The sequence below is a fragment of the Homo sapiens genome, chromosome 12, assembly GCF_000001405.40.
Source record: "Homo sapiens chromosome 12, GRCh38.p14 Primary Assembly".
Lineage (NCBI taxonomy): Eukaryota > Metazoa > Chordata > Mammalia > Primates > Hominidae > Homo > Homo sapiens.
Genome location: NC_000012.12, coordinates 49300191 through 49322941, shown reverse-complemented (window position 1 = coordinate 49322941; position 22751 = coordinate 49300191). Strand labels below are relative to the sequence as shown.

At 44.9% G+C, this 22751-nt stretch overlaps 1 long non-coding RNA gene across 1 annotated transcript in view, besides 1 other annotated feature; it reads left to right on the top strand.

Annotated features, from left to right (window-relative positions):
• Positions 1-22751, top strand: part of TROAP-AS1 (TROAP and PRPH antisense RNA 1) — a 31946-nt gene that overhangs the window by 1635 nt on the left and 7560 nt on the right. The window contains exons 3-4 of the long non-coding RNA NR_120449.1: positions 19050-19136; positions 19712-19842. This is a non-coding gene — a long non-coding RNA (TROAP and PRPH antisense RNA 1). The remainder of the gene's footprint in view (positions 1-19049; positions 19137-19711; positions 19843-22751) is intronic.
• Positions 755-974: an enhancer, noted in NCBI's record as "active region_6312". NCBI's record gives its function as "activates an Ori minimal core promoter by ATAC-STARR-seq in GM12878 lymphoblastoid cells {active_cell/tissue: GM12878}" and the evidence as "EXISTENCE:reporter gene assay evidence [ECO:0000049][PMID:35858748]".

Sequence of the window (22751 nt, the reverse complement as noted above, 5' to 3'; positions counted from 1 at the left end):
CAGTTGATCGTTCCGATTGCTGCCAACGGTGTTGAAGGCTGGCCCGAGCCCCCGACCCGGCTTGACCATAGCACGGCGCCAAGCTTTGGGGACGCCATTCCAGATGCCCATAGAAAATATCTGCGTCCGGGCGCGGTGGCAGGCGCCTGTAATCCCAACACTTTGGGACGCCGAGGCGGGAGGATCTCTTGAGCTGAGTTTGAGACCAGCCTGGGCAACATAGCGAGACCACTCCCACCCGTTTCTCTACAAAATAATAAAATAATAATAATAATCCCTGTGCAGTGGTGCGCGCTTGTAGTCCCAGCCGCTCTGGAGGCTGAGGCAGGAGGATCGTGTTGAGCCCAGGAGGTTGAGGCTGTAGTGAGCTGTGGTCGCGCCACTGCACTCCAGCCTGGGCAACAGAGACCCTGTCTTAAAAAAAATAAAGAGGGAAAGAGAGAACATCTGTACGTTGTCTCCGGGATAAGGAACTGCCTTCAAACGGGCGGAGAGGGCTGGAGGGAATCGAACTGAGCCTAACAATATGTGTGCTCCTTGGAGCCTCACAATCCAGTGAGGTGTCTGATGAGGTGTCTTTCATTTTACGGGTAGGTAACAAGACTCATTGTTTTTGAACTCAGTTACCACAGCACCAGAATTGAATGGCTACTCACAGCTGGGGATTTCCTTGCCTCCAGGTTGCCTTTTGCAGATCTAGAGGTCTGGGGAGAGGGGGCTCACCTGCTGGTTATTGGTGGGCAAGGCTGTGAGACTGAGAGATCCTAGAATATCCTGCTTAAGATGGAAGGGGTAACCCCTAACGGGGGACAGGAAATGAACAACACTTAACAGAACTCTGGTGGATTTTCCCCACCAATCACAGAAGTTATTCTTACACAAGCCAGAAACCGAGGAGTTACTCCTTAACTCCTCCCACTCCCTTTACATATCCCATCTCTCATTCACTCTCACTAGTTTTACTATTTATGCATTTTTGGGACAGGGTCTCACTCTGTCGCCCAGGCTGGAGTGCAGTGGTGCGATCTCAGCTCACCGCAGCCTCGGCCTCCTGAGGTGGGAACCTCAGCCTCTCAAGTAGCTGGGACTACAGGTGCCTGCCACCAGCTAATTTTTGTGTTTTTTTGTAGAGACAAGATCTGGCTACGTTGTCTAGCCTGGGGTTACAGGCGTCTTTCCCAGCACTTTGGATGGCCCAGGTGGATCGCTTGAGGCCAGGAGTTCCAGACCAGCCTAGACAGTGTAGCAAGATCCTGTTTCTATAAAAAAAAATTTAAAGATACGTAAGGTATCTTTACTAATTGTATGCATCTTTAAAATTCATCTACTTTCAGGCTGTGCGCGGTGGCTCACGCCTGTAATCCCAGCACTCTGGGAGGCCAAGGCAGGGGGATCACCTGAGGTTGGGAGTTCAAGACCAGGCTGACCAACATGGAGAAAACCGTCTCTACTAAAAACACAAAAATTAGCCGGACTTGGTGGCTCATGCCTGTAATCCCAGCTACTCAGGAGGCTGAGGCAGGAGAATCGCTTGAACCCAGGAGGCGGAGGTTGAGGTGAGCCGAGATCGCACCACTGCAACTCCAACCTGGGCAACAAGAGCGAAACTCCGTCTCAAAAAAAAACCAAACAAACAACAACAAAAAGATCATCTACTTTCGGCTGGGTTTATGACTGTAATCCCAGCACTTTGGGAGGCCGAGGTGGGCGGATCACCTGAGGTCAAGAGTTTGAGACCATCCTGACCAACATTGTGAAACCCCGTCTCTACTGAAAATACAAAAATTAGCTGGGCATGGTGGCTGATGCCTGTAATCCCAGCTACTTGGGAGGTTGAGGCAGGAAAATCACTTGAACCCAGGAGGCAGAGGCTGCAGTGAGCCAAGATTGTGCCACTGCATTCTCCAGCCTGGGTGACAAGAGTGAAACTCTGTCTCAAAAAAGAAAAAAAATTTCTTACTTTCTCTTTCTTTCTTTTTTCTTTTTCTTTCTTTCTTTCTTTTTTCTTTCTCTCTTTTTCTTTCTTTCTCTTTTTTTTTCTCTCTCTCTTTCTCTCTCTCTCTCTCACTCTCTCTTTTTCTTTCTTTCTTTTTTTTTGAGACAGAGTCTTGCTCTATCCCCCAGGCTGGAGTGCAGTGGCCTGATCTCAGCTCACTGCAGCCTCCACCTCCCGGGTTCAAGCGATTCTCCTGCCTCAGCCTCCTTAGTAGCTGGGATTACAGGCACCAGCCACCATGCCCAGCTAATTTTTGTATTTTAGTAGAGACGGGGTTTCACAATGCTGGTCAGGATGGTCTCGAACTCCTGACCTCAAGTGATCCACTTGCCTCGGCCTCCGAAAGTGTTGGGATTACAGGCGTGAGCCACCGCACCCGGCCCATCTACTTTCTTGTTCTTTGTTAGCACCACCCTAATCCACCTCAGTCTCACCTAGGCAATTGCAAGAGTGTCTTAGTTGGTCTCCCATCCCCTATTCTCTCTTTCTCTTCACACTCTTCCATTCTCCATATAGCAGCTAGAGTAATCTTTCCAAAATGCACATCAAGTCAGGCTACCACTATCCCTTGACCTCTCCCCACTGAAACCCTCCATCTTCTACCACTCTTCCCCTTCTATTAATATCTCCAACTTCATGGCTTCTTTCAATTCCTCAAGTTTGTCCTGATTGCTCTATATGGTCCCTGTTTCTGGAATGTCCTTTTCACTTCCACTTGGCCTATTTATGCCTCCAAATTGATTCCCATTGTTATTTCCTCAGGCCTTCCTTGCACCCCTCTACCTACCACCCACCCCAATCTAGTAAAGACCTCTTGGCTATGTGCTCGCAAAAAGTAATGTTTGTTTCCTCAGAGCATGTATGTTAGTTGGTAATTATATATTAATCAGTGTGAACATAATATGTTTACTAAACCCAGTTTCCTCCAATAGACCTCCAAGGAGATGATGAAGGTGACCCTCTATTTTTGGCCTACCATCATATCTTTAGTACCTTGCATTATCCTTCGTAAAAGTGCTCAATCCTTGTTGAATGAGTCAATAGATAGATGAATATATGATTGAATGCATCAACAAGGAAGACCTCCAAGAAGAAATAATGTTTGAACTTCCTCTTTAAAAAAATTTTTAAGGTCAGGCGTGGTGGCTCATGCCTGTAATCCCAGCACTTTGGGACACCAAGGCAGGCGGATCACTTGAGGTCAGGAGTCTAAGACCAGCCTGGCCAATATGGCAAAACCCGGTCTCTACTAAAAATATAATTAGCTGGGCGTGGTGATGCATGCCTGTAATCCCAGCTACTCAGGAGCCTGAGGCACGAGAATCACTTGAACCCAGAAGGGAGGGTTGCAGTGAGCAGAGATCATGCCACTGCACTCTAGGCTGGGAGAAAGAGTGAGTGAGACTTTGTCTCAAAAAAATATATATTTTTAATATACACTTTTTTGTATAGAGATGGGGTCTTGCTATGTTGCCTAGGCTGGTCTCAAACTCCTGGGCTCAAGCCATCCTCCTGCCTCAGCTTCCCACAGTGCTGAGATTACAGATGTCAGCCACTGTGCCAGCCTGCTTTTACTTTTTTTGATTAACTCTGTTTTCAGGATTCATCCTTATTACTACATATAATCTAATTCATTGCTTATACCTGCTACATAGGATTCCATGGTAGGCATCCATTATACTTTACTTACCCATTCCTGACTTCTACACACAATGCCAGACAGTTATCTCTTTCATAGTCCCCTGTGAACCAGTTCAAGAATTTCTCTGGAACATATTCCTCGGAGTGGAATTTCTGTGGTAAGGTATATGCATGCTCAATTTTACTAAGTAGCACCAGATTATTTTTCAGAAAATCTGTAGCTGTAAACCGGGCATGGCACACACTTGTAGTCCCAGCTTCTTAGAAGGCTGAGGTAGGAGGATTGCCTGAGCTCAGGAGTTTGAAGCCAGCTTTGATAACAGTGAGACACTCTAAAAAAAACCCTGAAAAACAAAACCAAGCAAGAAAACCCAGGTCTGTAGCTGTTTACAGTCTCAACATCATTACTGAAAGTTCTTATTACCTCATACCCTTTCCAACACGTAATATTATACAACTCTCTAATATTTGCAATTCTAATAGGTATATTAAGTGTACTCTCAGTTATTTAAAATTACATTTCTCTGATTACTAGTGAGTTTGAGTGTTACTTCATATTCTTTTTTTTTTTTCTTGAGATGGAGTCTCACTCTGTTACCAAGGCTGGAGTGCAGTGGCACGATCTTGGCTCACTGCAACGTCAGCCTCCCAAGTTCAAGCGATCCTCCTGCCTCAGCCCCCCTAGTAGCTGGGATTACAGGCACCCACAACCATCCCTGGCTAATTTTTGTATTTTTCATAGAGACAGGGTTTCGCCATGTTGGCCAGGCTGGTTTCCAACTCCTGACCTCAGGTGATCCACCCACCTTGGCCTCCCAAAGTGCTGGGATTACAGGTGTGAGCCACTGCGCCTGGCTATTTCATATTCTTGTTAGCCAATAAAGCTTCCTTCTCTCTGAAATGCCTATTCATATCCTTTGTGCTTTTTTTATTTTGGATTCCTGTCTTTACTTTTGTTCCTTCATAAGATTACACTATATTATGAATATTAATCCCACATTCACTTTTTTAAAAATTATTTTATTTTATTTTATTTATTATTACTTTTTGAGATGGAGTCTTGCTCTGTCACCCATACTGGAGTACAGGGGCCTGATGTCGGCTCACTGAAACCTCTACCTCCTGGGTTCAAGTGATTCTCCTGCATCAGCCTCCCAAGTAGCTGGGATTACAGACACGCACCACCACGCCTGGCTAATTTTCTTTTCTTCTTCTTCTTTTTTTTTTTTTGAGACTGAGTCTTGCTCTGTCACCAGGCTGGAGTGCAGTGGCGCAATCTCGGCTCACTGCAACCCCTGCCTCCTGGGTTCAAGGGATTCTCCTGCCTCAGCCTCCCGAGTAGCCGGGATTACACGTGCCTGCCACCATGCCCAGCTAATTTTTGTATTTGTAGTAGAGATGGGGTTTCACCATGTTGGCCAGGATGGTCTCGATCTCCTGACCTCGTGATCCGCCTGGCTCAGCCTCCCAAAGTGCTGGGATTAGAGGTGTGAGCCACCACGCCCGACCTCTTTTTTTTTTTTTTTTTTTTCAGGAAGAGTTTTGCTCTGTCTCCCAGGCTAGAGTTCAGTGGCCCGATCTCAGCTCACTGAAACCTCTGCCTCCTGGGTTCAGCGATTCTCCTGCCTCAGCCTCCCGAGTGGCTGAGATTACAGGTGCTCGCCACCATGCTTGGCTAATTTTTGTATTTTTAGTAGAGATGGGGTTTCACCATGTTGGCCAGGCTGGTCTCAAACTCCTGACCTCAGGTGACTGCCCACCTCAGTCTCCCAAAGTGCTGGGATTACAGGCATGAGCCATGGTGCCTGGCCACGCCTGGCTAATTTTTATATTTTTTAGTAGAGGGGGGTTTTGCCATGTTGACCAGGCTGGTTTAGAACTCCTGACCTCAGATGATCTGCCTGCTTCGGCCTCCTAAAGTGCTGGTATTACAGGAGTGAGCCACTGCACCCAGCCCCATATCCACTTTATTTATTTATTTATTATTATTATTTATTTATTTATTTATTTTTTGAGACAGAGTCGTGCTCTGTCGCCAGGCTGGAGTGCAGTGGCGCGATGTCGGTTCACTGCAGCTTCCACCTCCCGGGTTCAAGCAATTCTCCTGCCTCAGCCTTCCGAGTAGCTGGGACTACAGGTGTGCGCCACCATGCCCAGCTAATTTTTTGTATTTTAGTAGAGATGGGGTTTCACCATGTTGGTTAGGCTGGTCTTGAACTCCCAACCTCAGATGATCCGCCCGCCTTGGCCTCCCAAAGTGTTGGGATTACAGGCGTAAGCCACCGCGCCCAACCTATTATTATTATTATTATTGAGTCTTGGTCTGTCGCCCAGGCTGAAGTGCAGTGGCTCGATCTCGGCTCACTGTGAGTTCAAGTGATTCTCCTGCCTCAGCTTCCTAAGTCTCTGGGTCTACAGGTGTGCACCACCAGGCCCAGATAATTTTTGTATTTTTAGTAGAGACGGGGTTTCACCATGATGGCCAAGTGGTCTTGAACTTCTAACCTCAGGTGATGTGCCCACCTTAGCCTCCCAAAATGCTGGGATTACAGGCGTGAGCCACCACATCTGGCTCCCCATATCCACTTTAAACATTGCAAATATTTTCTTATAATTGATTTTCTATCCAATGAACTCTTTTCTTATTTTTCTATTGATTCTTCTAGGTTTTCTACAGAGATAATTATGTCCTCTGTAAACAAAACAGTTTTACATATTCCCCTTCAATCTTTATACCTCGTTAGATTTTTTGTTATTCTTGTTTTGTTTGTTTGTTTTTTTTTTTTTTTTTTTTTGAGACGGAGTCTTGCTCTGTCGCCCAGGCTGGAGTGCAGTGGCACAATCTCGGCTTACTGCAACCTCCGCCTCCCGGGTTCACGCCATTCTCCTGCCTCAGCCTCCCAAGTAGCTGGGACTACAGGCGCCCGCCACCACGCCTGGCTAATTTTTTGTATTTTTAGTAGAGACAGGGTTTCACCACATTAGCCAGGATGGTCTCGATCTCCTGACCTTGTGATCTGCCAACCTCAGCCTCCCAAAGTGCTGGGATTACAGGCGTGAACCTCCGCACCCGGCTGATTTTTTTTTTTTTTAGATGGTGTTTTGCTCTTGTTGCCCAGGCTGGAGTGCAATGACATGATCTCCTCCACCTCCTGGGTTCAAGTGATTCTCCTGCCTTAGCCTCCCAAGTAGCTGGAATTACAGGCATGTGCTACTATGCCCGGCTATTTTTGTATTTTTAGTAGAGATGGGGTTTCACTATGTTAGTCAGGCTGATCTCTAACTCCTGACCTCAGGTGATCCACCCACCTCGGCCTCCCAAAGTGCTGGGATTACAGGCATGAGTCACCGTGCCCGGCCCTGATTCTGTTGATTTCTTTTTCTTACACCATCATAGAAAATTTCCAATATTATATTAACAGCAACAGTGCTGGAGCAACCTTGACTTGTGGGAAACCATCTGAAGCTTCTCCAAAGAGTAACTTTTTTCCCTGTTTTTGTGAAACAATTTTAAACTTACAGAACATGTGCAAGGATATACATAACATTTTTTCTCAACCATTTGAGAGCAAATTGACAATATATTGCCTCAAATATTTCAGTGTGCATTTATTTTTATTTATTTATTTATTTATTTATTGAGAGGGAGTCTCTCTCTGTTGCCCAGGCTGGAGTACAGTGGCATGATTTAGGCTCACCCCAAACTCTGCCTCCTGGGTTCAAGTGATTCTCCTGCCTCAGCCTCTTGAGTAGCTGAGATTGTAGGCCCCTGCCACCATGCCCAGCTAATTTTTGTATTTTTAGTAGAGACAGGGGTTTCACCATGTTGGCCAGGCTGATCTCGAACTCCTGACCTCAGGTGATCCGCCTGCCTCAGCCTCCCAAAGTGTTGGGATTACAGGCATGAGCCACTGTGCCCAGCCCAACCTTGATACATTCTGACCACCTAACCCTCAGGCCCTGTGATGGTTAATTTTAGGCATCAACTTGACTGGATTGAGAGATGCCTTGATGGCTGGTGAAACATTGTTCGTGTGTGTGTCCTGTGTCCGTGTGTCTGTAAGGGTGTTGCAGTGGAGATTGGCTGTGAGTCCTTGGACTGAGAGAGGAAGACCTGCCTTCAGTGTGGGTGGGTATCATCCAACCGCCTGGGGTGGATTTGGACAAACAGGAAGAAGTGGGGGAATTCTCAAACTCTCCCTTCCAGAGCAATCTGCTTTTTCTCCTCCTATTCTTGGACAACAGACTCCAGGTTCTTCAGCTTTTGGACTTTGGGACTTGCACCAGTGGCCTATCAGGGGTTTTCAGGCCTTTGGCCTCTGACTAGGGGGTTGTACTGTTGGCTTCCCTGGCTCTGAAGCTTCTGGAGTTGGACTGAGCCATGTTACCAGATTCTCTGGTTCCCCAGCCTACAAAGAGCCTATCATGGGATTCTGCCTCTGTGATCATGTGGCCAATTCCCTAATAAATCCCCTCTCATATATCCAATTGGTTATGTCTCTCTGAAGAACCTTAATACTGACCCAATTCAAGTTTCGCCAGTTTTCCCAGTGATGTCCTTTATAGAAGAAGGATCCAGTCCAGATTCATGTGTTGCATTTAGTTGTCATATCTTTTTTTTTTTTTTTTTTTGAGATGGAGTCTCTCTGTGTCGCCAGGACGGAGTGCAGTGGTGCAATCTCGGCCCACTGCAACCTCTGCCTCCCCGGTTCAAGCGATTCTCCTGCCTCAGCCTCCCAAGTAGCTGGGATTACAGGCGCCTGCCACCACACCCAGCTAATTTTTGTGTTTGTAGTAGAGATGGGGTTTCACCATGTTGGCCAGGATGGTCTTGATCTCCTGACCTCCTGATGCACCTGCCTCGGCCTCCCAAAGTGCTGGGATTACAGGTGTGAGCCACCTTGCCTGGCCAGTTGTCATATCTCTTTAGTCTCCTTCAATCTCAAAGAGTTCTTCATTTTTGACTTTCATGACATCACATTTTTGAGGATTACAGGCCAGTTACTTTGTAGAATTTCTCTCTGTTTGGGTTTGCCTGATGTTTTCTTATGATTAGACTCATGCTATAATCTTTGGCAGGACTGTCACAGAAGTTATGCTGTTTTCTTCCTACTGCATCCTATCAGGTGGCTCCCATTTCAGTGTGTCCTTTTACTTTAATTATTTGATTCAAGTGGTAGCCAGGTGTGGTGGCTCATGACTGTAATCCCAGCACTTTGGGAGGCTGAGGCAGGAGGATCATTTGAGTCCAAGAGTTGGAGACCAGCCTGGGCAACATGGTGAAACCCTATCTTTACAAAAATTAAAAAAAAAAATTAACTGGGCATCCAGGCGCAGTGGCTTACGCCTGTAATCCCCGCACTTTGGGAGGCCGAGGTGGGTGGATCACCTGAGGTCAGGAGTTTGAGACCAGCCTGGCCAACCTGGTGAAACCCCGTCTCTACTAAAAATACAAAAATTAGCTGGGCGTGGTGGTGGGCACCTGTAATCCCAGCTACTTGGGAAGCTGAGGCAGGAGAATCATTTGAACCCATGGGGCGGAGGTTGCAGTGAGCTGAGATCGCGCCATTGCACTCCACTCTGGGTGACAGAGCAAGACTCCACCTCTAAATAAAATAAATAAATAAATAAATAAATAAAAATCAGCTGGGCATACTGGCGTGCACCTGTAGTCCCAGCTACTTGGGAGGCTGAGGCAAGAGGATCACGTGAGCTGAGAGTTTGAGGCTGTAGTGAGCCAGGATCTGGTCACTGCACTCCAGCCTGGGAGACAGAGAGAGACCCTGTCTCAAAAAAAAAAAAAAAAAAAGTGGTATCTGTCAAGTTTCTCCACCGTAAATTACTCTTCACTTTTGTAATTAAGAAGTATTTTGTGGGGGGCAGGGGGGATACTTTGAGGTTATGTAAATATTCCATTCCTCATCAATCTTTTTCTTTTTCTTTTCTTTTCTTTTTTTTTTTTTTTTTTTTGAGACGGAGTTTTGCCCTTGTTGCCCAGGCTGGAGTGCAATGGCGCGATCTCACCTCACCACAACGTCTGCCTCCCGGGTTCAAGTGATTCTCCTGCTTCAGCCTCCCTGAGTAGCTGGGATTACAGGCATGTGCCACCACGCCTGGCTAATTTTGTATTTTTAGTAGAGATGGGGTTTCTCCATGTTGGTCAAGCTGGCCTCAAACTCCCAACCTTAGGTGATCCACCGGCCTTGGCCTCCCAAAGTGCTGGGATTACAGGCATGAGCCACCGCACCTGGCATCTTTTGCTTTTTAAAATTATATCAGTATGAACTCGTAAATTCCTATTCAATGGACCACTATCCAGTTACTAATACTGTTTTTTTTTTGACACGTTTTCTCTGATTTAGCCAGTGGGAGTCCTTTCAAGTTGCCTACTGTATCCTTTTAACATAACCTCATCACTTTTTTTTTTTTTTTTTGAGACGGAGTCTTGCTTGTCACCCAGGCTGGAGTGCAGTGGCATGATCTCGGGTCACTGCAACCTCTGCCTCCTAGGTTCAAGCCATTCTCCTGCCTCAGCCTCCCCAGTAGCTGGGATTACAGGCGCACACCACCACACTCAGCTAATTTTTGTATTTTTAGTACAGACAGGGTTTCACCATGTTGGCCAGGCTGGTCTTGAACTCCTGATCTCGTGATCCGCCTGCCTCGGCCTCCCAAAGTGCTGGGATTACAGGCCCGGCCACTTCATCACTTTTAAGCATTCTTGCACTCTGGCATAGCAACATGTTTCAGAACCTATTTTTACTTTCCCTGCATCAGCTCTGGAATCAGTCATTTCTCCAAGGAGCTCTGGTTCCTTTTTTTTTTTTTTTTTTTTTGAGACAGGCTCTCTGTTGCCCAGGCTGGAGTGCAGTGGCACAATATTGGCTCACTGCAACTTTCACCTCCCAGGCTCAAACGATCCTCCCACCTCAGCCTCCCAAGTGACTGGGACCACAGATGCATGCCACCATGTCCAGCTAATTTTTTTGTAGAGACAGGGTTTCACCATGTTGCCCAAGCTGGTCTCAGCCTCCTGGGCTCAAGTGACCCTCCTGCCTCAGCCTCCCAAAGTGCTGGGATTACAGGTGTGAGCCACTGCACCCAGCCTGGTTCCTTTTAATGGAGATTGTTATTTAGAAACCAAAATCTGGCTGGGTGTGGTGGCTCATGCCTGTAATCCCAGCACTTTGAGAAGCTGAGGCGGGCAAATCACAAGGTCAGGAGTTCGAGACCAGCCTGATCAACATGGTAAAACCCCGTCTGTACTAAAAATACAAAAATTAGCTGGATGTGGTGGTACGCACCTGTAATCCCAGCTACTCAGGAGGCTGAGGCAGGAGAATTGCTTGAATCCAAGAGGTGGAGGTTGCAGTGAGCCAAGATCGCGCCACTGCACTCTAGCCTGGGCGACAGTGCGAGACTCTGTTTCAAAAAACAAAACAAACAAACCAAAAAACCAAAATCTGGACAGTAGCTCTGCTCGTTGCTATTAGGGTATTACTGCTCCCAGTCCCTCTCAGTGGACAGAGCTGGGAGATATATTCTACCTGTAATTGTATTTTCTTGTAGTTTCCTTGTCTGGCTTTGATATCAGGGTAATGCTGGCCTTATAAGATGAGTTTGCCCACTGCTCAATGAAATAAAAGAGGATACAAACAAATGGAAGAACATTCCATGCTCATGGGTAGGAAGAATCAATATTGTGAAAATGGCCATACTGCCCAAGGTAATTTATAGATCCAGTGTCATCTCCATCAAGCTACCAATGACTTTCTTCACTGAATTGGAAAAAACTACTTTAAAGTTCATATGGAACCAAAAAAGAGCCCTCATTGCCAAGTCAATCCTAAGCCAAAAGAACAAAGCTGGAGGCATCACGCTACCTGACTTCAAACTATACTACAAGGCTACAGTAACCAAAAGAGCATGGTACTGGTACCAAAACAGAGATATAGACCAATGGAACAGAACAGAGCCCTCAGAAATAATGCCACATATCTACAACTATCTGATCTTTGACAAACCTGACAAAAACAAGAAATGGGGAAAGGATTCCCTATTTAATAAATGGTGCTGGGAAAACTGGCTAGCCATATGTAGAAAGCTGAAACTGGATCCCTTCCTTACACCTTATACAAAAATTAATTCAAGATGGATTAAAGACTTAAATGTTAGACCTAAAACCATAAAAACCCTAGAAGAAAACCTAGGCAATACCATTCAGGACATAGGCATGGGCAAGGACTTCATGTCTAAAACATCAAAAGCAATGGCAACAAAAGCAAAAATTGACAAATGGGATCTAATTAAACTAAAGAGCTTCTGCACAGCAAAAGAAACTACCATCAGAGTGAACAGGCAACCTACAAAATGGGAGAAAATGTTTGCAATCTACTCATCTGACAAAGGGCAAATATCCAGAATCTACAATGAAGTCAAACAAATTTACAAGAAAAAAACAACCCCATCAAAAAGTGGGCAAAGGATATGAACAGACACTTCTCAAAAATAGACATTTATGCAGCCAAAAGACACATGAAAAAATGCTCATCGTCACTGGCCATCAGAGAAATGCAAATCAAAACCACAATGAGATACCATCTCACACCAGTTAGAATGGCGATCATTAAAAAGTCAGGAAACAACAGGTGCTGGAGAGGATGTGGAGAAATAGGAACACTTTTACACTGTTGGTGGGACTGTAAACTAGTTCAACCATTGTGTAAGTCAGTGTGGCGATTCCTCAGGGATCTAGAACTAGAAATACCATTTGACCCACCCATCCCATTACTGGGTATATACACAAGGGATTATAAATCATGCTGCTATAAAGACACATGTACACATATGTTTATTGCGGCACTATTCACAATAGCAAAGACTTGGAACCAACCCAAATGTCCAACAATGATAGACTGGATTAAGAAAATGTGGCACATATACACCATGGAATACTATGTGGCCATAAAAAATGATGATTTCATGTCCTTTGTAGGGACATGGATGAAGCTGGAAACCATCATTCTCAGCAAATTATCGCAAGGACAGAAAACCAAACACCGTATGTTCTCACTCATAGGTGGGAATTGAACAATGAGAACACATGGGCACAGGAAGGGGAACATCACACACCGGGGCCTGTTGAAGGGTGGGGGGAGGGGGGAGGGACAGCATTAGGAGATATACCTAAGATTAAATGATGAGTTAATGGGTGCAGCACACCAACATGGCACATGTATATATATGTAACTAACCTGCACATTGTGCATATGTGCCCTAAAACTTAAAGAATAAAAAAAAAAAAAAAAGAAAAGATGAGTTTGGAAGTGTTCCTGTCTCTTCAGGTTTTTGAAAGAGTTTGAGAAGGATTGGTGTTAATTTTTCTTTTGGAGGGGCAGGGGTCCTTGTTACATTACCAAGACTGGTCTCAAATTCCTGGGCTCAAGCAATACTCCCACCTCAGCCTAGCTGGGATCACAGCCAGGTGCCACCGCACCCGGCTCCTTTTCTTTTCTTTTTTCTTTTTTGTTTGAGACAGAGTCTCGCTCTGTCACCTGGCTGGAGTGCAGTGGCATGATCTCAACTCACTGCAACCTCCGCCTCCCAGGTTCAAGCAATTCTATAGCCTCAGCCTTCTCAGTAGCTGGGACTACAGGCATGCGTCGCCACACCCAGTTAATTTTTGTTTTGTTTTGTTTTGTTTTGTTTGTAGAGACAGAGTTCCACCATGTTGCCTAGGCTGGTCTCAGACTCCTGAGCTCAAAGTGATCTGCCCGTCTCGGCCTCCTGAAGTGTTGAGATTACAAGTGTGAGCCACTGTGCCTGGCCCCGGCTCCTTTTTTTCAACTGTTTGGTAGAATTCACCAGTGAAGCCATCAGGTCCTGGTATTTTCTTTGCTGGGAGGTTTTAAATTATTGATTCAATCTGCTTGCTCATCATTGGTCTGTTCAGATTTTCTATTTCTTCATGATTCTGTCTTGGTAGGCTGTATGTTTTTAGAAATTTACCTATTTCTTCTAGGTTATTCAATTTGCTGGCATATAATTGTTCATAGTAGTCTCTTATGATCTTTTGTATTTCTGTGGTATCAGTTGTAATGCCTTCTCTTTCATTTATAATTTTATTTATTTTTGTCTTCTTTTTTTTGTCTTCTTTTTTTCTTAGTCCAGCTAAAGGTTTGTCAATTTTGTTTATCCTTTCAAAAGACAAACTCTTGGTTTTATTGATCTTTTTTATGTTTTCCTAATCTCTTTTTTATTTATTTCTGCCAGATTATTATTTCCTCCTGTTGCCTAACTTTGGGCTTACCTTGTTCTTCTTTTTCTAGTTGTTTGAGGTTATTTGAATTTTTTCTTTTTTCCTTAATGTAGGCACTTATTGCTATAAATATCCTTCTTAGAACTGCTTTTGCTACATTCCTTAAATTTTTGGTATGTTGTGTTTCTATTTTCCCATTTTCATTTGCCTCGTTTTTTAAATTTTTTATTTATTTATTTATTTTGAGATGGAGCCTCTTTCTGTCACCCAGGCTGGAGTGCAGTGGCACAATCTCGGCTCACTGCAACCTCTGCCTCCTGGGTTCAAGCAATTCTTGTGCCTCGGCCTCCTGACTAGCTAGGATTACAGGTGCCTGCCACCATACCCAGCTGATTTTTGTATTTTTAGTAGAGACAGGATTTTGCCATGTTGGCCAGGCTAGTCTGAAACTCCTGACATCTAGTGATCTGCCCACCTCAGCCTCCAAAAGTGGCCTCAAGTTATTTTTATTTCTCTTTTCACTTCTTCTTTGACCCATTGGTTGTTCAGGAGTATGTTGTTTAATTTCCACACAAGTGTGATTTTTTCATTTTTTCTCCTATTGTTGATTTCTAGTTTTATCCACTATGATCAAAAAAGATACTTGATGTGGTTTCTGTCTTCTTAAATTTGTCAAGACTTGTTTTGTGGCCTAATGTATAATCTGTCCTGGAGACTTCTGTGTACACTTGAGAAGAATGTGTATTTGTTGCTGTTGGATGGAATATTCTGTATATGTCTGTTAGGTTCATTTTGGCTATAGTGTTGTTCAAGTCTGCCATTTCCTTATTGATTTTCTGTCTGGATGATCTATCTATTGTTGAAAGTGGGATATTGAAGTCCCCTACTATTGTTATGTTGCTGTCTATTTCCCCCTTCAGTTCAGTTAATATTTGCTTTATATGTTTGCTATATATAGTTATTCTGATATTGGGTGCATATATATTTACAATTGTTATATCCTGTTGATGAACTGACCCCTTTATCATAATAATAGAGGTCTGAAAACAATAAAAAGATAATGAAAAAGATTTAAGAAAATACAAATAGATTAGAAGAATTAATATTGTTAAAATGTTCATACTACTCTAAATGATCTACAAATTCAAGCAAACCCTATCAAAATTCCAGTGGCAGTTTTCACAGAATAGAAAAAAAACAATCAAAAAATTCATATGGAGCTACAAAGGACCCCAACTAACCAAAGCAACTTTGAGCAAAAAGAAGAAACTTCATGACATTAGTCTGGGTAATGATTTTTTTTTTTCTTTTTGGAAATGAACCTAAAAGCACAGGCAACAAAAGCAAAAATAGACAAATGGGATTGCGTCAAACTAAAAGACTTCTTCACAGCAAAGGAAACAATCAACAGAGTGAAGAAACAACCTATGAAAAGAGAGAAAATATTTTCAAACCATATATCTGAGAAGGGGTTAATATCCAGAATATGTAAGGTATTCAAACAACTCAATAGTAAAAACAAAAACAAGACCTGACTTATTTAAATGGGCAAAGGACCTCAGTAGAGATTTCCCAAAGGAAGACATAAAAATGAGCAACAGATATATTAATTTTTATTTTATTTTATTTTATTTTATTTTATTTTGAGACAGATCTCGCTACATGGCCCAGGCTGGAGTGCAGTGGCGCAATCTTGGCTCACTGCAGCCTCAACCTCCCGGGCTCGAGTGATCCTCCCACCTCTGCCTTGCAAGTAGCTGGGACTGCAGGTGTGCACTGCCACACTTGGCTTTTTTTTCTTTCTGTATGTTTTGTAGAGATGGGGTTTCATCATGTTGGCCAGGCTGGTCTCAAACTCCCGACCATGTGATCTGCACACCTAGGCCTCCCAAAGTGCTGGGATTACAGGCATGAGCCACTACATCCAGCTAACATATATATATTTTAAAAAATCAACATTACTAATCATCACAGAAATGCAAACCAAAACCACAATGAGATATCACTTCACACCTGCTAGAGTGGCTATTATCAAAAAGACAAAAGATGTGTGGCAGGATGTAGAGAAAAGGAGACTCTTGTACATTGTTGGTAGGAGTGTAAATTGGTACAACTATTATGGAAAACAGTATGGGGATTCCTCAAAAAATTAAAATTAGAACTACCATACGATTCAGCAATCCCACTACTGTATATATACCCAAAGGAAAGAAAATCAGGATCTCTGGCCAGACGCAGTGGCTCATGCCTGTAATCCCAGAACTTTGGGAGGCCGAGATAGGCAGATCACCTGAAGTCAGGAGTTTGAGACCAGTCTGGCAAACATGGTGAAATCCCATCTCTACTGAAAATACAAAAATTAGCTGGGTATGATGGTGCGCGCCTGTAACCCCAGCTACTTGGGAGGCTGAGGCAGGGAGAATCGCTTGAACCTGGGAGGTGGAGGTTGCAGTGAGCCGAGATCATGCCACCGCACTCCAGCCTGGGCAACAGAGAGAGACTCCATCTCAAAAAAAAAAAAAATGTCCAGTTTGCCTTACATAGACTGTTAGCAGAAGTATGAATGCTAACAACTCTGACAGGGAGGGCTCAGAAGGAACTGAGGAGCATAGGAGAGAATCCCTGTATTATCTTAGAGAATCTCTAAGTCATCATGTTGGTAGAAATGTGAATGTTAGTGCTGACATTAAGGGCTTAGAAGGAAATGAGGAACATGTTTTTAGAAAATGGAGGAAAGGGGATTTTTTATATAGTGGTAGGAAGCTCAGCAGAATTGTGTCATAATTATGTGGAAAGCATAATTTGTAAGGATGAACTTGGATATTTAGCTGTGTTGTAAAGTGTTGAAGGTGGACTGCTTTCTTTTTGCTGCTTATAGTAAAATGTGAGAGGAGAGATAAACTGAAGGAAGAACTGTTGAGCAGAAAGGAAGCAGGACTTGGTATTTGGGAAATTCTCAGCCTACCCATATTGGTAAATATGCTCAAATTAGGCCATTCACTGTCAGGAAACGTGCTCCGAAGAGAAATCCAAGAGTGTACCTTGGCAATCTTCTGCTAGTGCCTCGGAAGGATCAAAGATCAGATCAGTCAGCCACACAATGGGCCCGTTGGAGGGTTTTGGCATGTGACTAGTGAGTCTCCTCAGTCATCTAAGCGGAAGAGAAATGAGATTATTCGAAAAGATTTGTGGCAGAGTCTCTTGTATAATGGGGTGAATCCCTGATACATACATAGGAAACCCATTCTTGAGAATGTCATGCAACAGAAACACTGCCAGCTTGTACTGAAAGGAACAGAGAGAGGACAAAATTAGAGAAGGCTGGGCCGGGCGCGGTGGCTCACGCCTGTAATCCCAGCACTTTGGGAGGCTGAGGCGGGTGGATCACGAGGTCAGGAGATTGAGACCATCCTGGCTAACACGGTGAAACCCCGTCTCTACTAAAAATACAAAAAATTAGCCGGGCATGGTGGTAGGCACCTGTAGTCCCAGCTACTCGGGAGGCTGAGGCAGGAGAATGACATGAACCTGGGAGGCGGAACTTGCAGTCAGCCTAGATCGTGCCACTGCACTCCAGCTTGGGTGACAGAGTGAGACTCCATCTCAAAAAATAAATAAATAAATAAATAAAAAGAAAAGAAAAAGAAAAAAAGAGGGTACTCTGGTCTTCACTTCCTCATCTCTCATTCACTCCTCTTTTTTCTTCTGACCCAATTCTGCCTTGAATCTGCTCTCACTTAGGTCTCTAGCATCTTCCTTGTTGATAAATCCTAAATTTTCCTATTGTTTTGTAACTTGGGCTCCCAGCATCATTTGGCCCAGTGCTCCCTCCTTAAAGCTTTCTCTGGCCTTGAGAAGTCAAGGCCACACTTTCCTGGTGTTCCTCCTCCATCTCAGCCTGTTAATTCTCCATATTCTCTTTAAGATTCTACCCAAGGTTCTTTTCTTTTCTCGCTATATGCACTGTTCTTGGGTGATTTCTTTTTTCTTTTCTTTTTTTTGAGACGGAGTTTTGCTCTTGTTGTCCAGGCTGGAGTGCAGTGGTGTGATCTCAGCTCACTGCAACCTCAGCCTCCCAGGTTCAAGTGATTCTCCTGCCTCAGCCTCCTGAGTAGCTGGTATTACCGGTGTGCGCCACCATGCCCAGCTAATTTTTTGTATTTTTGGTAGAGATGGGGTTTCATCATGTTGGCCAGGCTAGTCTCAAACTCCCGACCTCAGGTGATCCACCCGCCTCGGCCTCCCAAAGTGCTGGGATTACAGGCATGAAGCACCGCGCCCGGCCAGGTGATTTCATTTTTTCCCGTGTGTGACACCTGAGAGGTCCCATGCCCTTGTCTTTGGCTCAATCTCTCTTCCTTGTACCCAGTACAAATCACAGGCCATGAACTGATGTAAAAGTTTTCAAACTGAAACTTTTGCTCACTTAAACACCTAAATATTTGAAACCCCAAAGCTTTTGTCTGCTTTTCCACAGTGATATTTCTCCTTTGAGGTAATAGGTGCCACTGAATGGAAGAGAGCAAAGGCATGGGGTATAAAGAATGTGTGTGTATGTGTGTCCTATGCAGAGGGTGGTGGTGAAAGCCTGAGCAACATCTGGTGTGACCTCATGGATTCCTGACTTCCATTCCATACCAGATAATGAGCCCAAGCCAGTCAGCAGCTGTCCCCTGGCAACTGTTACTAGTTCAGGAGTAGACACGACAAAGACATTAGCTAAACAGCCTAATGGGAAAGATTTCTATCTCATACCTGGCATCACCCAGTAGCTGCTGACAGCCATTGTGGAATCATGAGGACCATCCCAAGGGCAAAGTACCCCTCCAAGGAGGAAGCTGAGCCGAGCCATGGACAGGGCCTGGGTCCTTGGTGACATCATTGAGCTTCTGAATCAACCAACCTCAGAGCCTGCCCCCTACCTCTGGCTCTCTGTTATGTGAGATATTTCCTTTTCATTTTTCTATGTATTTATTTTTTTATTTATTTATGAAACAGGATCTCATTCTGTTGCCCAGATTGGAGTGCAGTTGTATGATCATAGCTCCCTGCAGCCTCCATCTCTCAGGTTCAAGCGATCCTCCCACTTCAGTATCTGGAGTAGCTGGGACTATAGGTGCATGCCACTAATTTTTGTATTTTTTGTATAGACAGGATTGCCCTATGTCGTCCATGCTGGTCTGGAACTCCTGGGCTCAAGAGATCCTCTCACCTTGGCCTCCCAAAGTGCTGAGATTACAGGTATGAGCCACCACACTCGGCCTTATTTTTCTTATAGAGGTCATCTGTTACTTGTAATAAAAATCATTCTAGCCAGGCGCAGTGGCTCACGCCCGTAATCCCAGCACTTTGGAAGGCTGAGGCGGGCGGATCACGGGTCAGGAGATCGAGACCATCCTGGCTAACATAGTGAAACCCCGTCTCTACTAAAAATACAAAAAATTAGCCGGGCGTGGTGGCAGATGCCTGTAGTCCCAGCTACTCCGGAGGCTGAGGCAGGAGAATGGCGTGAACCTGGGAGGTGGAGCTTGCAGTGAGTGGAGATCACGCCACTGCACTCCACCCTGGGTGACAGAGCGAGACTCTGTCTCAAAAAATAAATAAATAAATAAATAAATAGCATTCTAATAGATTCAGTATCTCAAAATATCCAACCACATCTGAACTCCAGACCTGTGACGCCAGCTGCCTGGCACCCCTTCATCCCTTCCTCTTGGATGTTCCAGAGCATCTCATGCTCAGTGAGTCTAAAACTGACTTTGTTGTCTTGGGCTCCCACTTTCCCCATTTCACTTCAGTCTTCCTTTTTTTTTTAGAGCTAGAGTCTCATGATGTCGTCCAGGCTGGTATCGAACTCGGCTTCAAGCAGTCCTCTCACCTCAGCCTCTCGAGTAGCTGGAATTACAGTTGAGAGCCACTGCATCCAGCTTTGCTCTTTCTTTGAAAGGTACCATCATCTAGCTGCCTGGTTGTTCAAGCAAAAACGCTGGTCATTGTTACTATTCCTTTTCTGCACACTGCCAATCAATCCTAGAAACTGCAGATTCCACCCCCCAGTATTTCTCAAACCCACCTCCGGTGACAATACCCATCATCATCTCTTGTATTTTTCACTGAAAAAGCCTCTGACCTGATCTCCCATCTCCTTCCAATTCTTTCTGCATATTTCAGCAAGAGTGATCTTCCTAAAATGCAGATCTGAATCACCCTCCTTATTAAAACTTTTAAGTTTCTTTCCCTTTTTCTTAGGATAAATTCAGGGCCAGATGTGATGGTTCACACCTGTAATCCCAACACTTTGGGAGGCTGAGGTGGGAGGATTGCTTGAGGCCAGAAATTTGAGACCAGCATGGGCAACATAGCAAGATCCTGTATCTACAAAAAAAAAAAATTAAAAAATTAACTGGGTATGGTGGCATGCGCCTGTAGTCCCAGCTACTGGGGAGGCTGATGCAGGAGGATCACTTCAGCCCAGGAGCTGGAAGCTGAAGTGAGTTATGATAGTGCCACTGCACTTCAGCCTAGTGTCAGAGACCCTGTCTTTAAAAAAAAAAAAAAAAAAAATCCAGGTGTGGTGGCTTATGCCTGTAATCCCAGCGCTTTGAGAAGCCAAGGTGGGTGGATCACCTGAGGTCAGGAAAAATTAGCTGGGTGTGGTGGCACGTGCCTGTAGTCCCAGCTACTTGGGAGGCTGAGGGAGGAGAATCGCTTGAACCTGGGAGGTGAGATCTCGCCACTGCACTCCGGCCTGGGCGACATAGCGAGACTCTGCCTCAAATAAATAAATAAATGAAAATATAAATAAATAAATTAATTAAAAAACAAAAACCTGACTGCTTTAACATGGCTTATCAAGCCCTCTGTGACTGGGCCCTTGTTCATCTTTCCAGCATCAGCGCTGTTACTTCCATTCTAGCTTTTACTCCATCATTATGAAACTGCTTTTAGTTTCCAAATTTGCTGTCTTACCTCCTGGCTGATTTCTATACCTAGAAAGTCCTTCTCTCCTTGCTTCACCAGACTAAGTCCCGCTCATTCTTCAGTGCTCAGTGTGATGTCACGTCCTGTGGGAAGCCACGCCTCCTGCCTAAGCCTGGCTTAGGTGCTTATCTTCATATCAACACCACTATCTGCTTAGTATCCCAGACAGCACTCCTCAGGAGGTTGAAATTGTCTGCTTATGTTGCCTGTCTCCCCCACCCCAAACTGTAAATTCCTTGAGATCAGGGACTCTGACTTATTCATTGCACCTAGCACCATAGCTGAGTGAAGAAGATCATCTTAAATTCAGATGTGAATTTTGACTTGAAGGCAAGGGTAGGACGGAATGGAGGAATGGAGTTGGAAGTTGGAAGACAGCATGGGTGTTTCTTTTTTTTCTTTTTTTCTTTTTGTGGAGACAGGGTCTTACTTTATCACCCAGGCTGAAGTGCAGTGGCACTTTTCTTGGCTCACTGCAACCACGACCTGGGCTCCAGTGATCCTCCTACCTCAGCCTCCCAAGTAGCTGGGACCACAGGCTCATGCCACCATGCCCGGCTAATATTTTAATTTTTGTAGAAATGGGGTCTCTCTGTGTTGCTGAGGCTGGTCTCGAACTCCTGGCCTCAAACCATCCTCCCACCTTGGCCACCCAAAGTGCTGGGATTACAGGCATGAGTCTCCACACCTGGTCAGGAAATAGACATTTTCAAGCAGAGGCAGGGATGGTGATGGCATAATCTGATTTACTAAGGGTATTGAATAGATTTGGGCAGGTGGCAGAGCAGGCCAGGGGAAGGAAACCATTGATAATGTAGATAATGTGACCCACGCAAGATATGATGCTGGCCTGGACTAAGATGTTGGTAATGGGGATGGAGAGAACCAGACAGACTTGAAAGAGAGTTAAGAAGTAGACTTCATACCAGGCACAGTGGCTCATGCCTGTAATCCCAGCATTTTGGGAGGCTGAGGTGGGAGGATCACTTGCGCCCAGGAGTTTGAGACCAGCCTAAGCAACATAGGGAGGCCTTATCGCTACAAAAAATGGAAAAATTTGCTATGAGTGGTGGCAAGTTTCTGTGGTCCCAGCTACTCAAGAGGCTGAGGTGGGAGGATCACTTGAACCCAGGAGGTCAAGGTTGCAGTGAGCTATGATGGTGCCACTGCACTCCAGCCTGGGTGGCAGAGTGAGACCGTCTCAAAAAAAAAAAAAAAGCCTGACATGATGTCTTGTGCCTGTAATCCTAGCATTACTTTGGGCAGCTGAGGCAGGAGGATCATTTGAGCCCAGGAGTTCAATACCAGCCTGGGTGACATAGCAAGACCCCATCTCATGAAGCAAATTTAAAAATTATTTTTTGGGCTGGGCGAGGTGGCTCACTCCTGTATTCCCAGCATTTTGGGAGGCCGAGGTGAGCAGATCATGAGGTCAGGAGATGGAGACCATCCTGGCTAACACGGCGAAACCCCGTCTCTACTAAAAATACAAAAAAATTAGCTGGGTGTGGTGGCAGGCGCCTGTAGTCCCAGCTACTTGGGAGGCTGAGGCAGGAGAATGACATGAACCCAGGAGGCGGAGCTTGCAGTGAGCCGAGATTGCCCCACTGCACTCCAGCCTGGGTGACAGAGCAAGACTCCATCTCAAAAAAAAAAAAAAAAAAAATTATTTTTGGCCGGGTGCAGTGGCTCACGCCTGTAATCCCAGCACTTTGGGAGGCCGAGGTGGGTGAATCACCTGAGGTCAGGGGTTCGAGACCAGCCTGACCAACATGGTGAAACCCTGTCTCTACTAAAAAAACTTTACAAAATTAGCTGGGCATGGTGGTGCACACCTGTAATCTCAGGTATTTGGGAGGCTGAGGCAGGAGAATT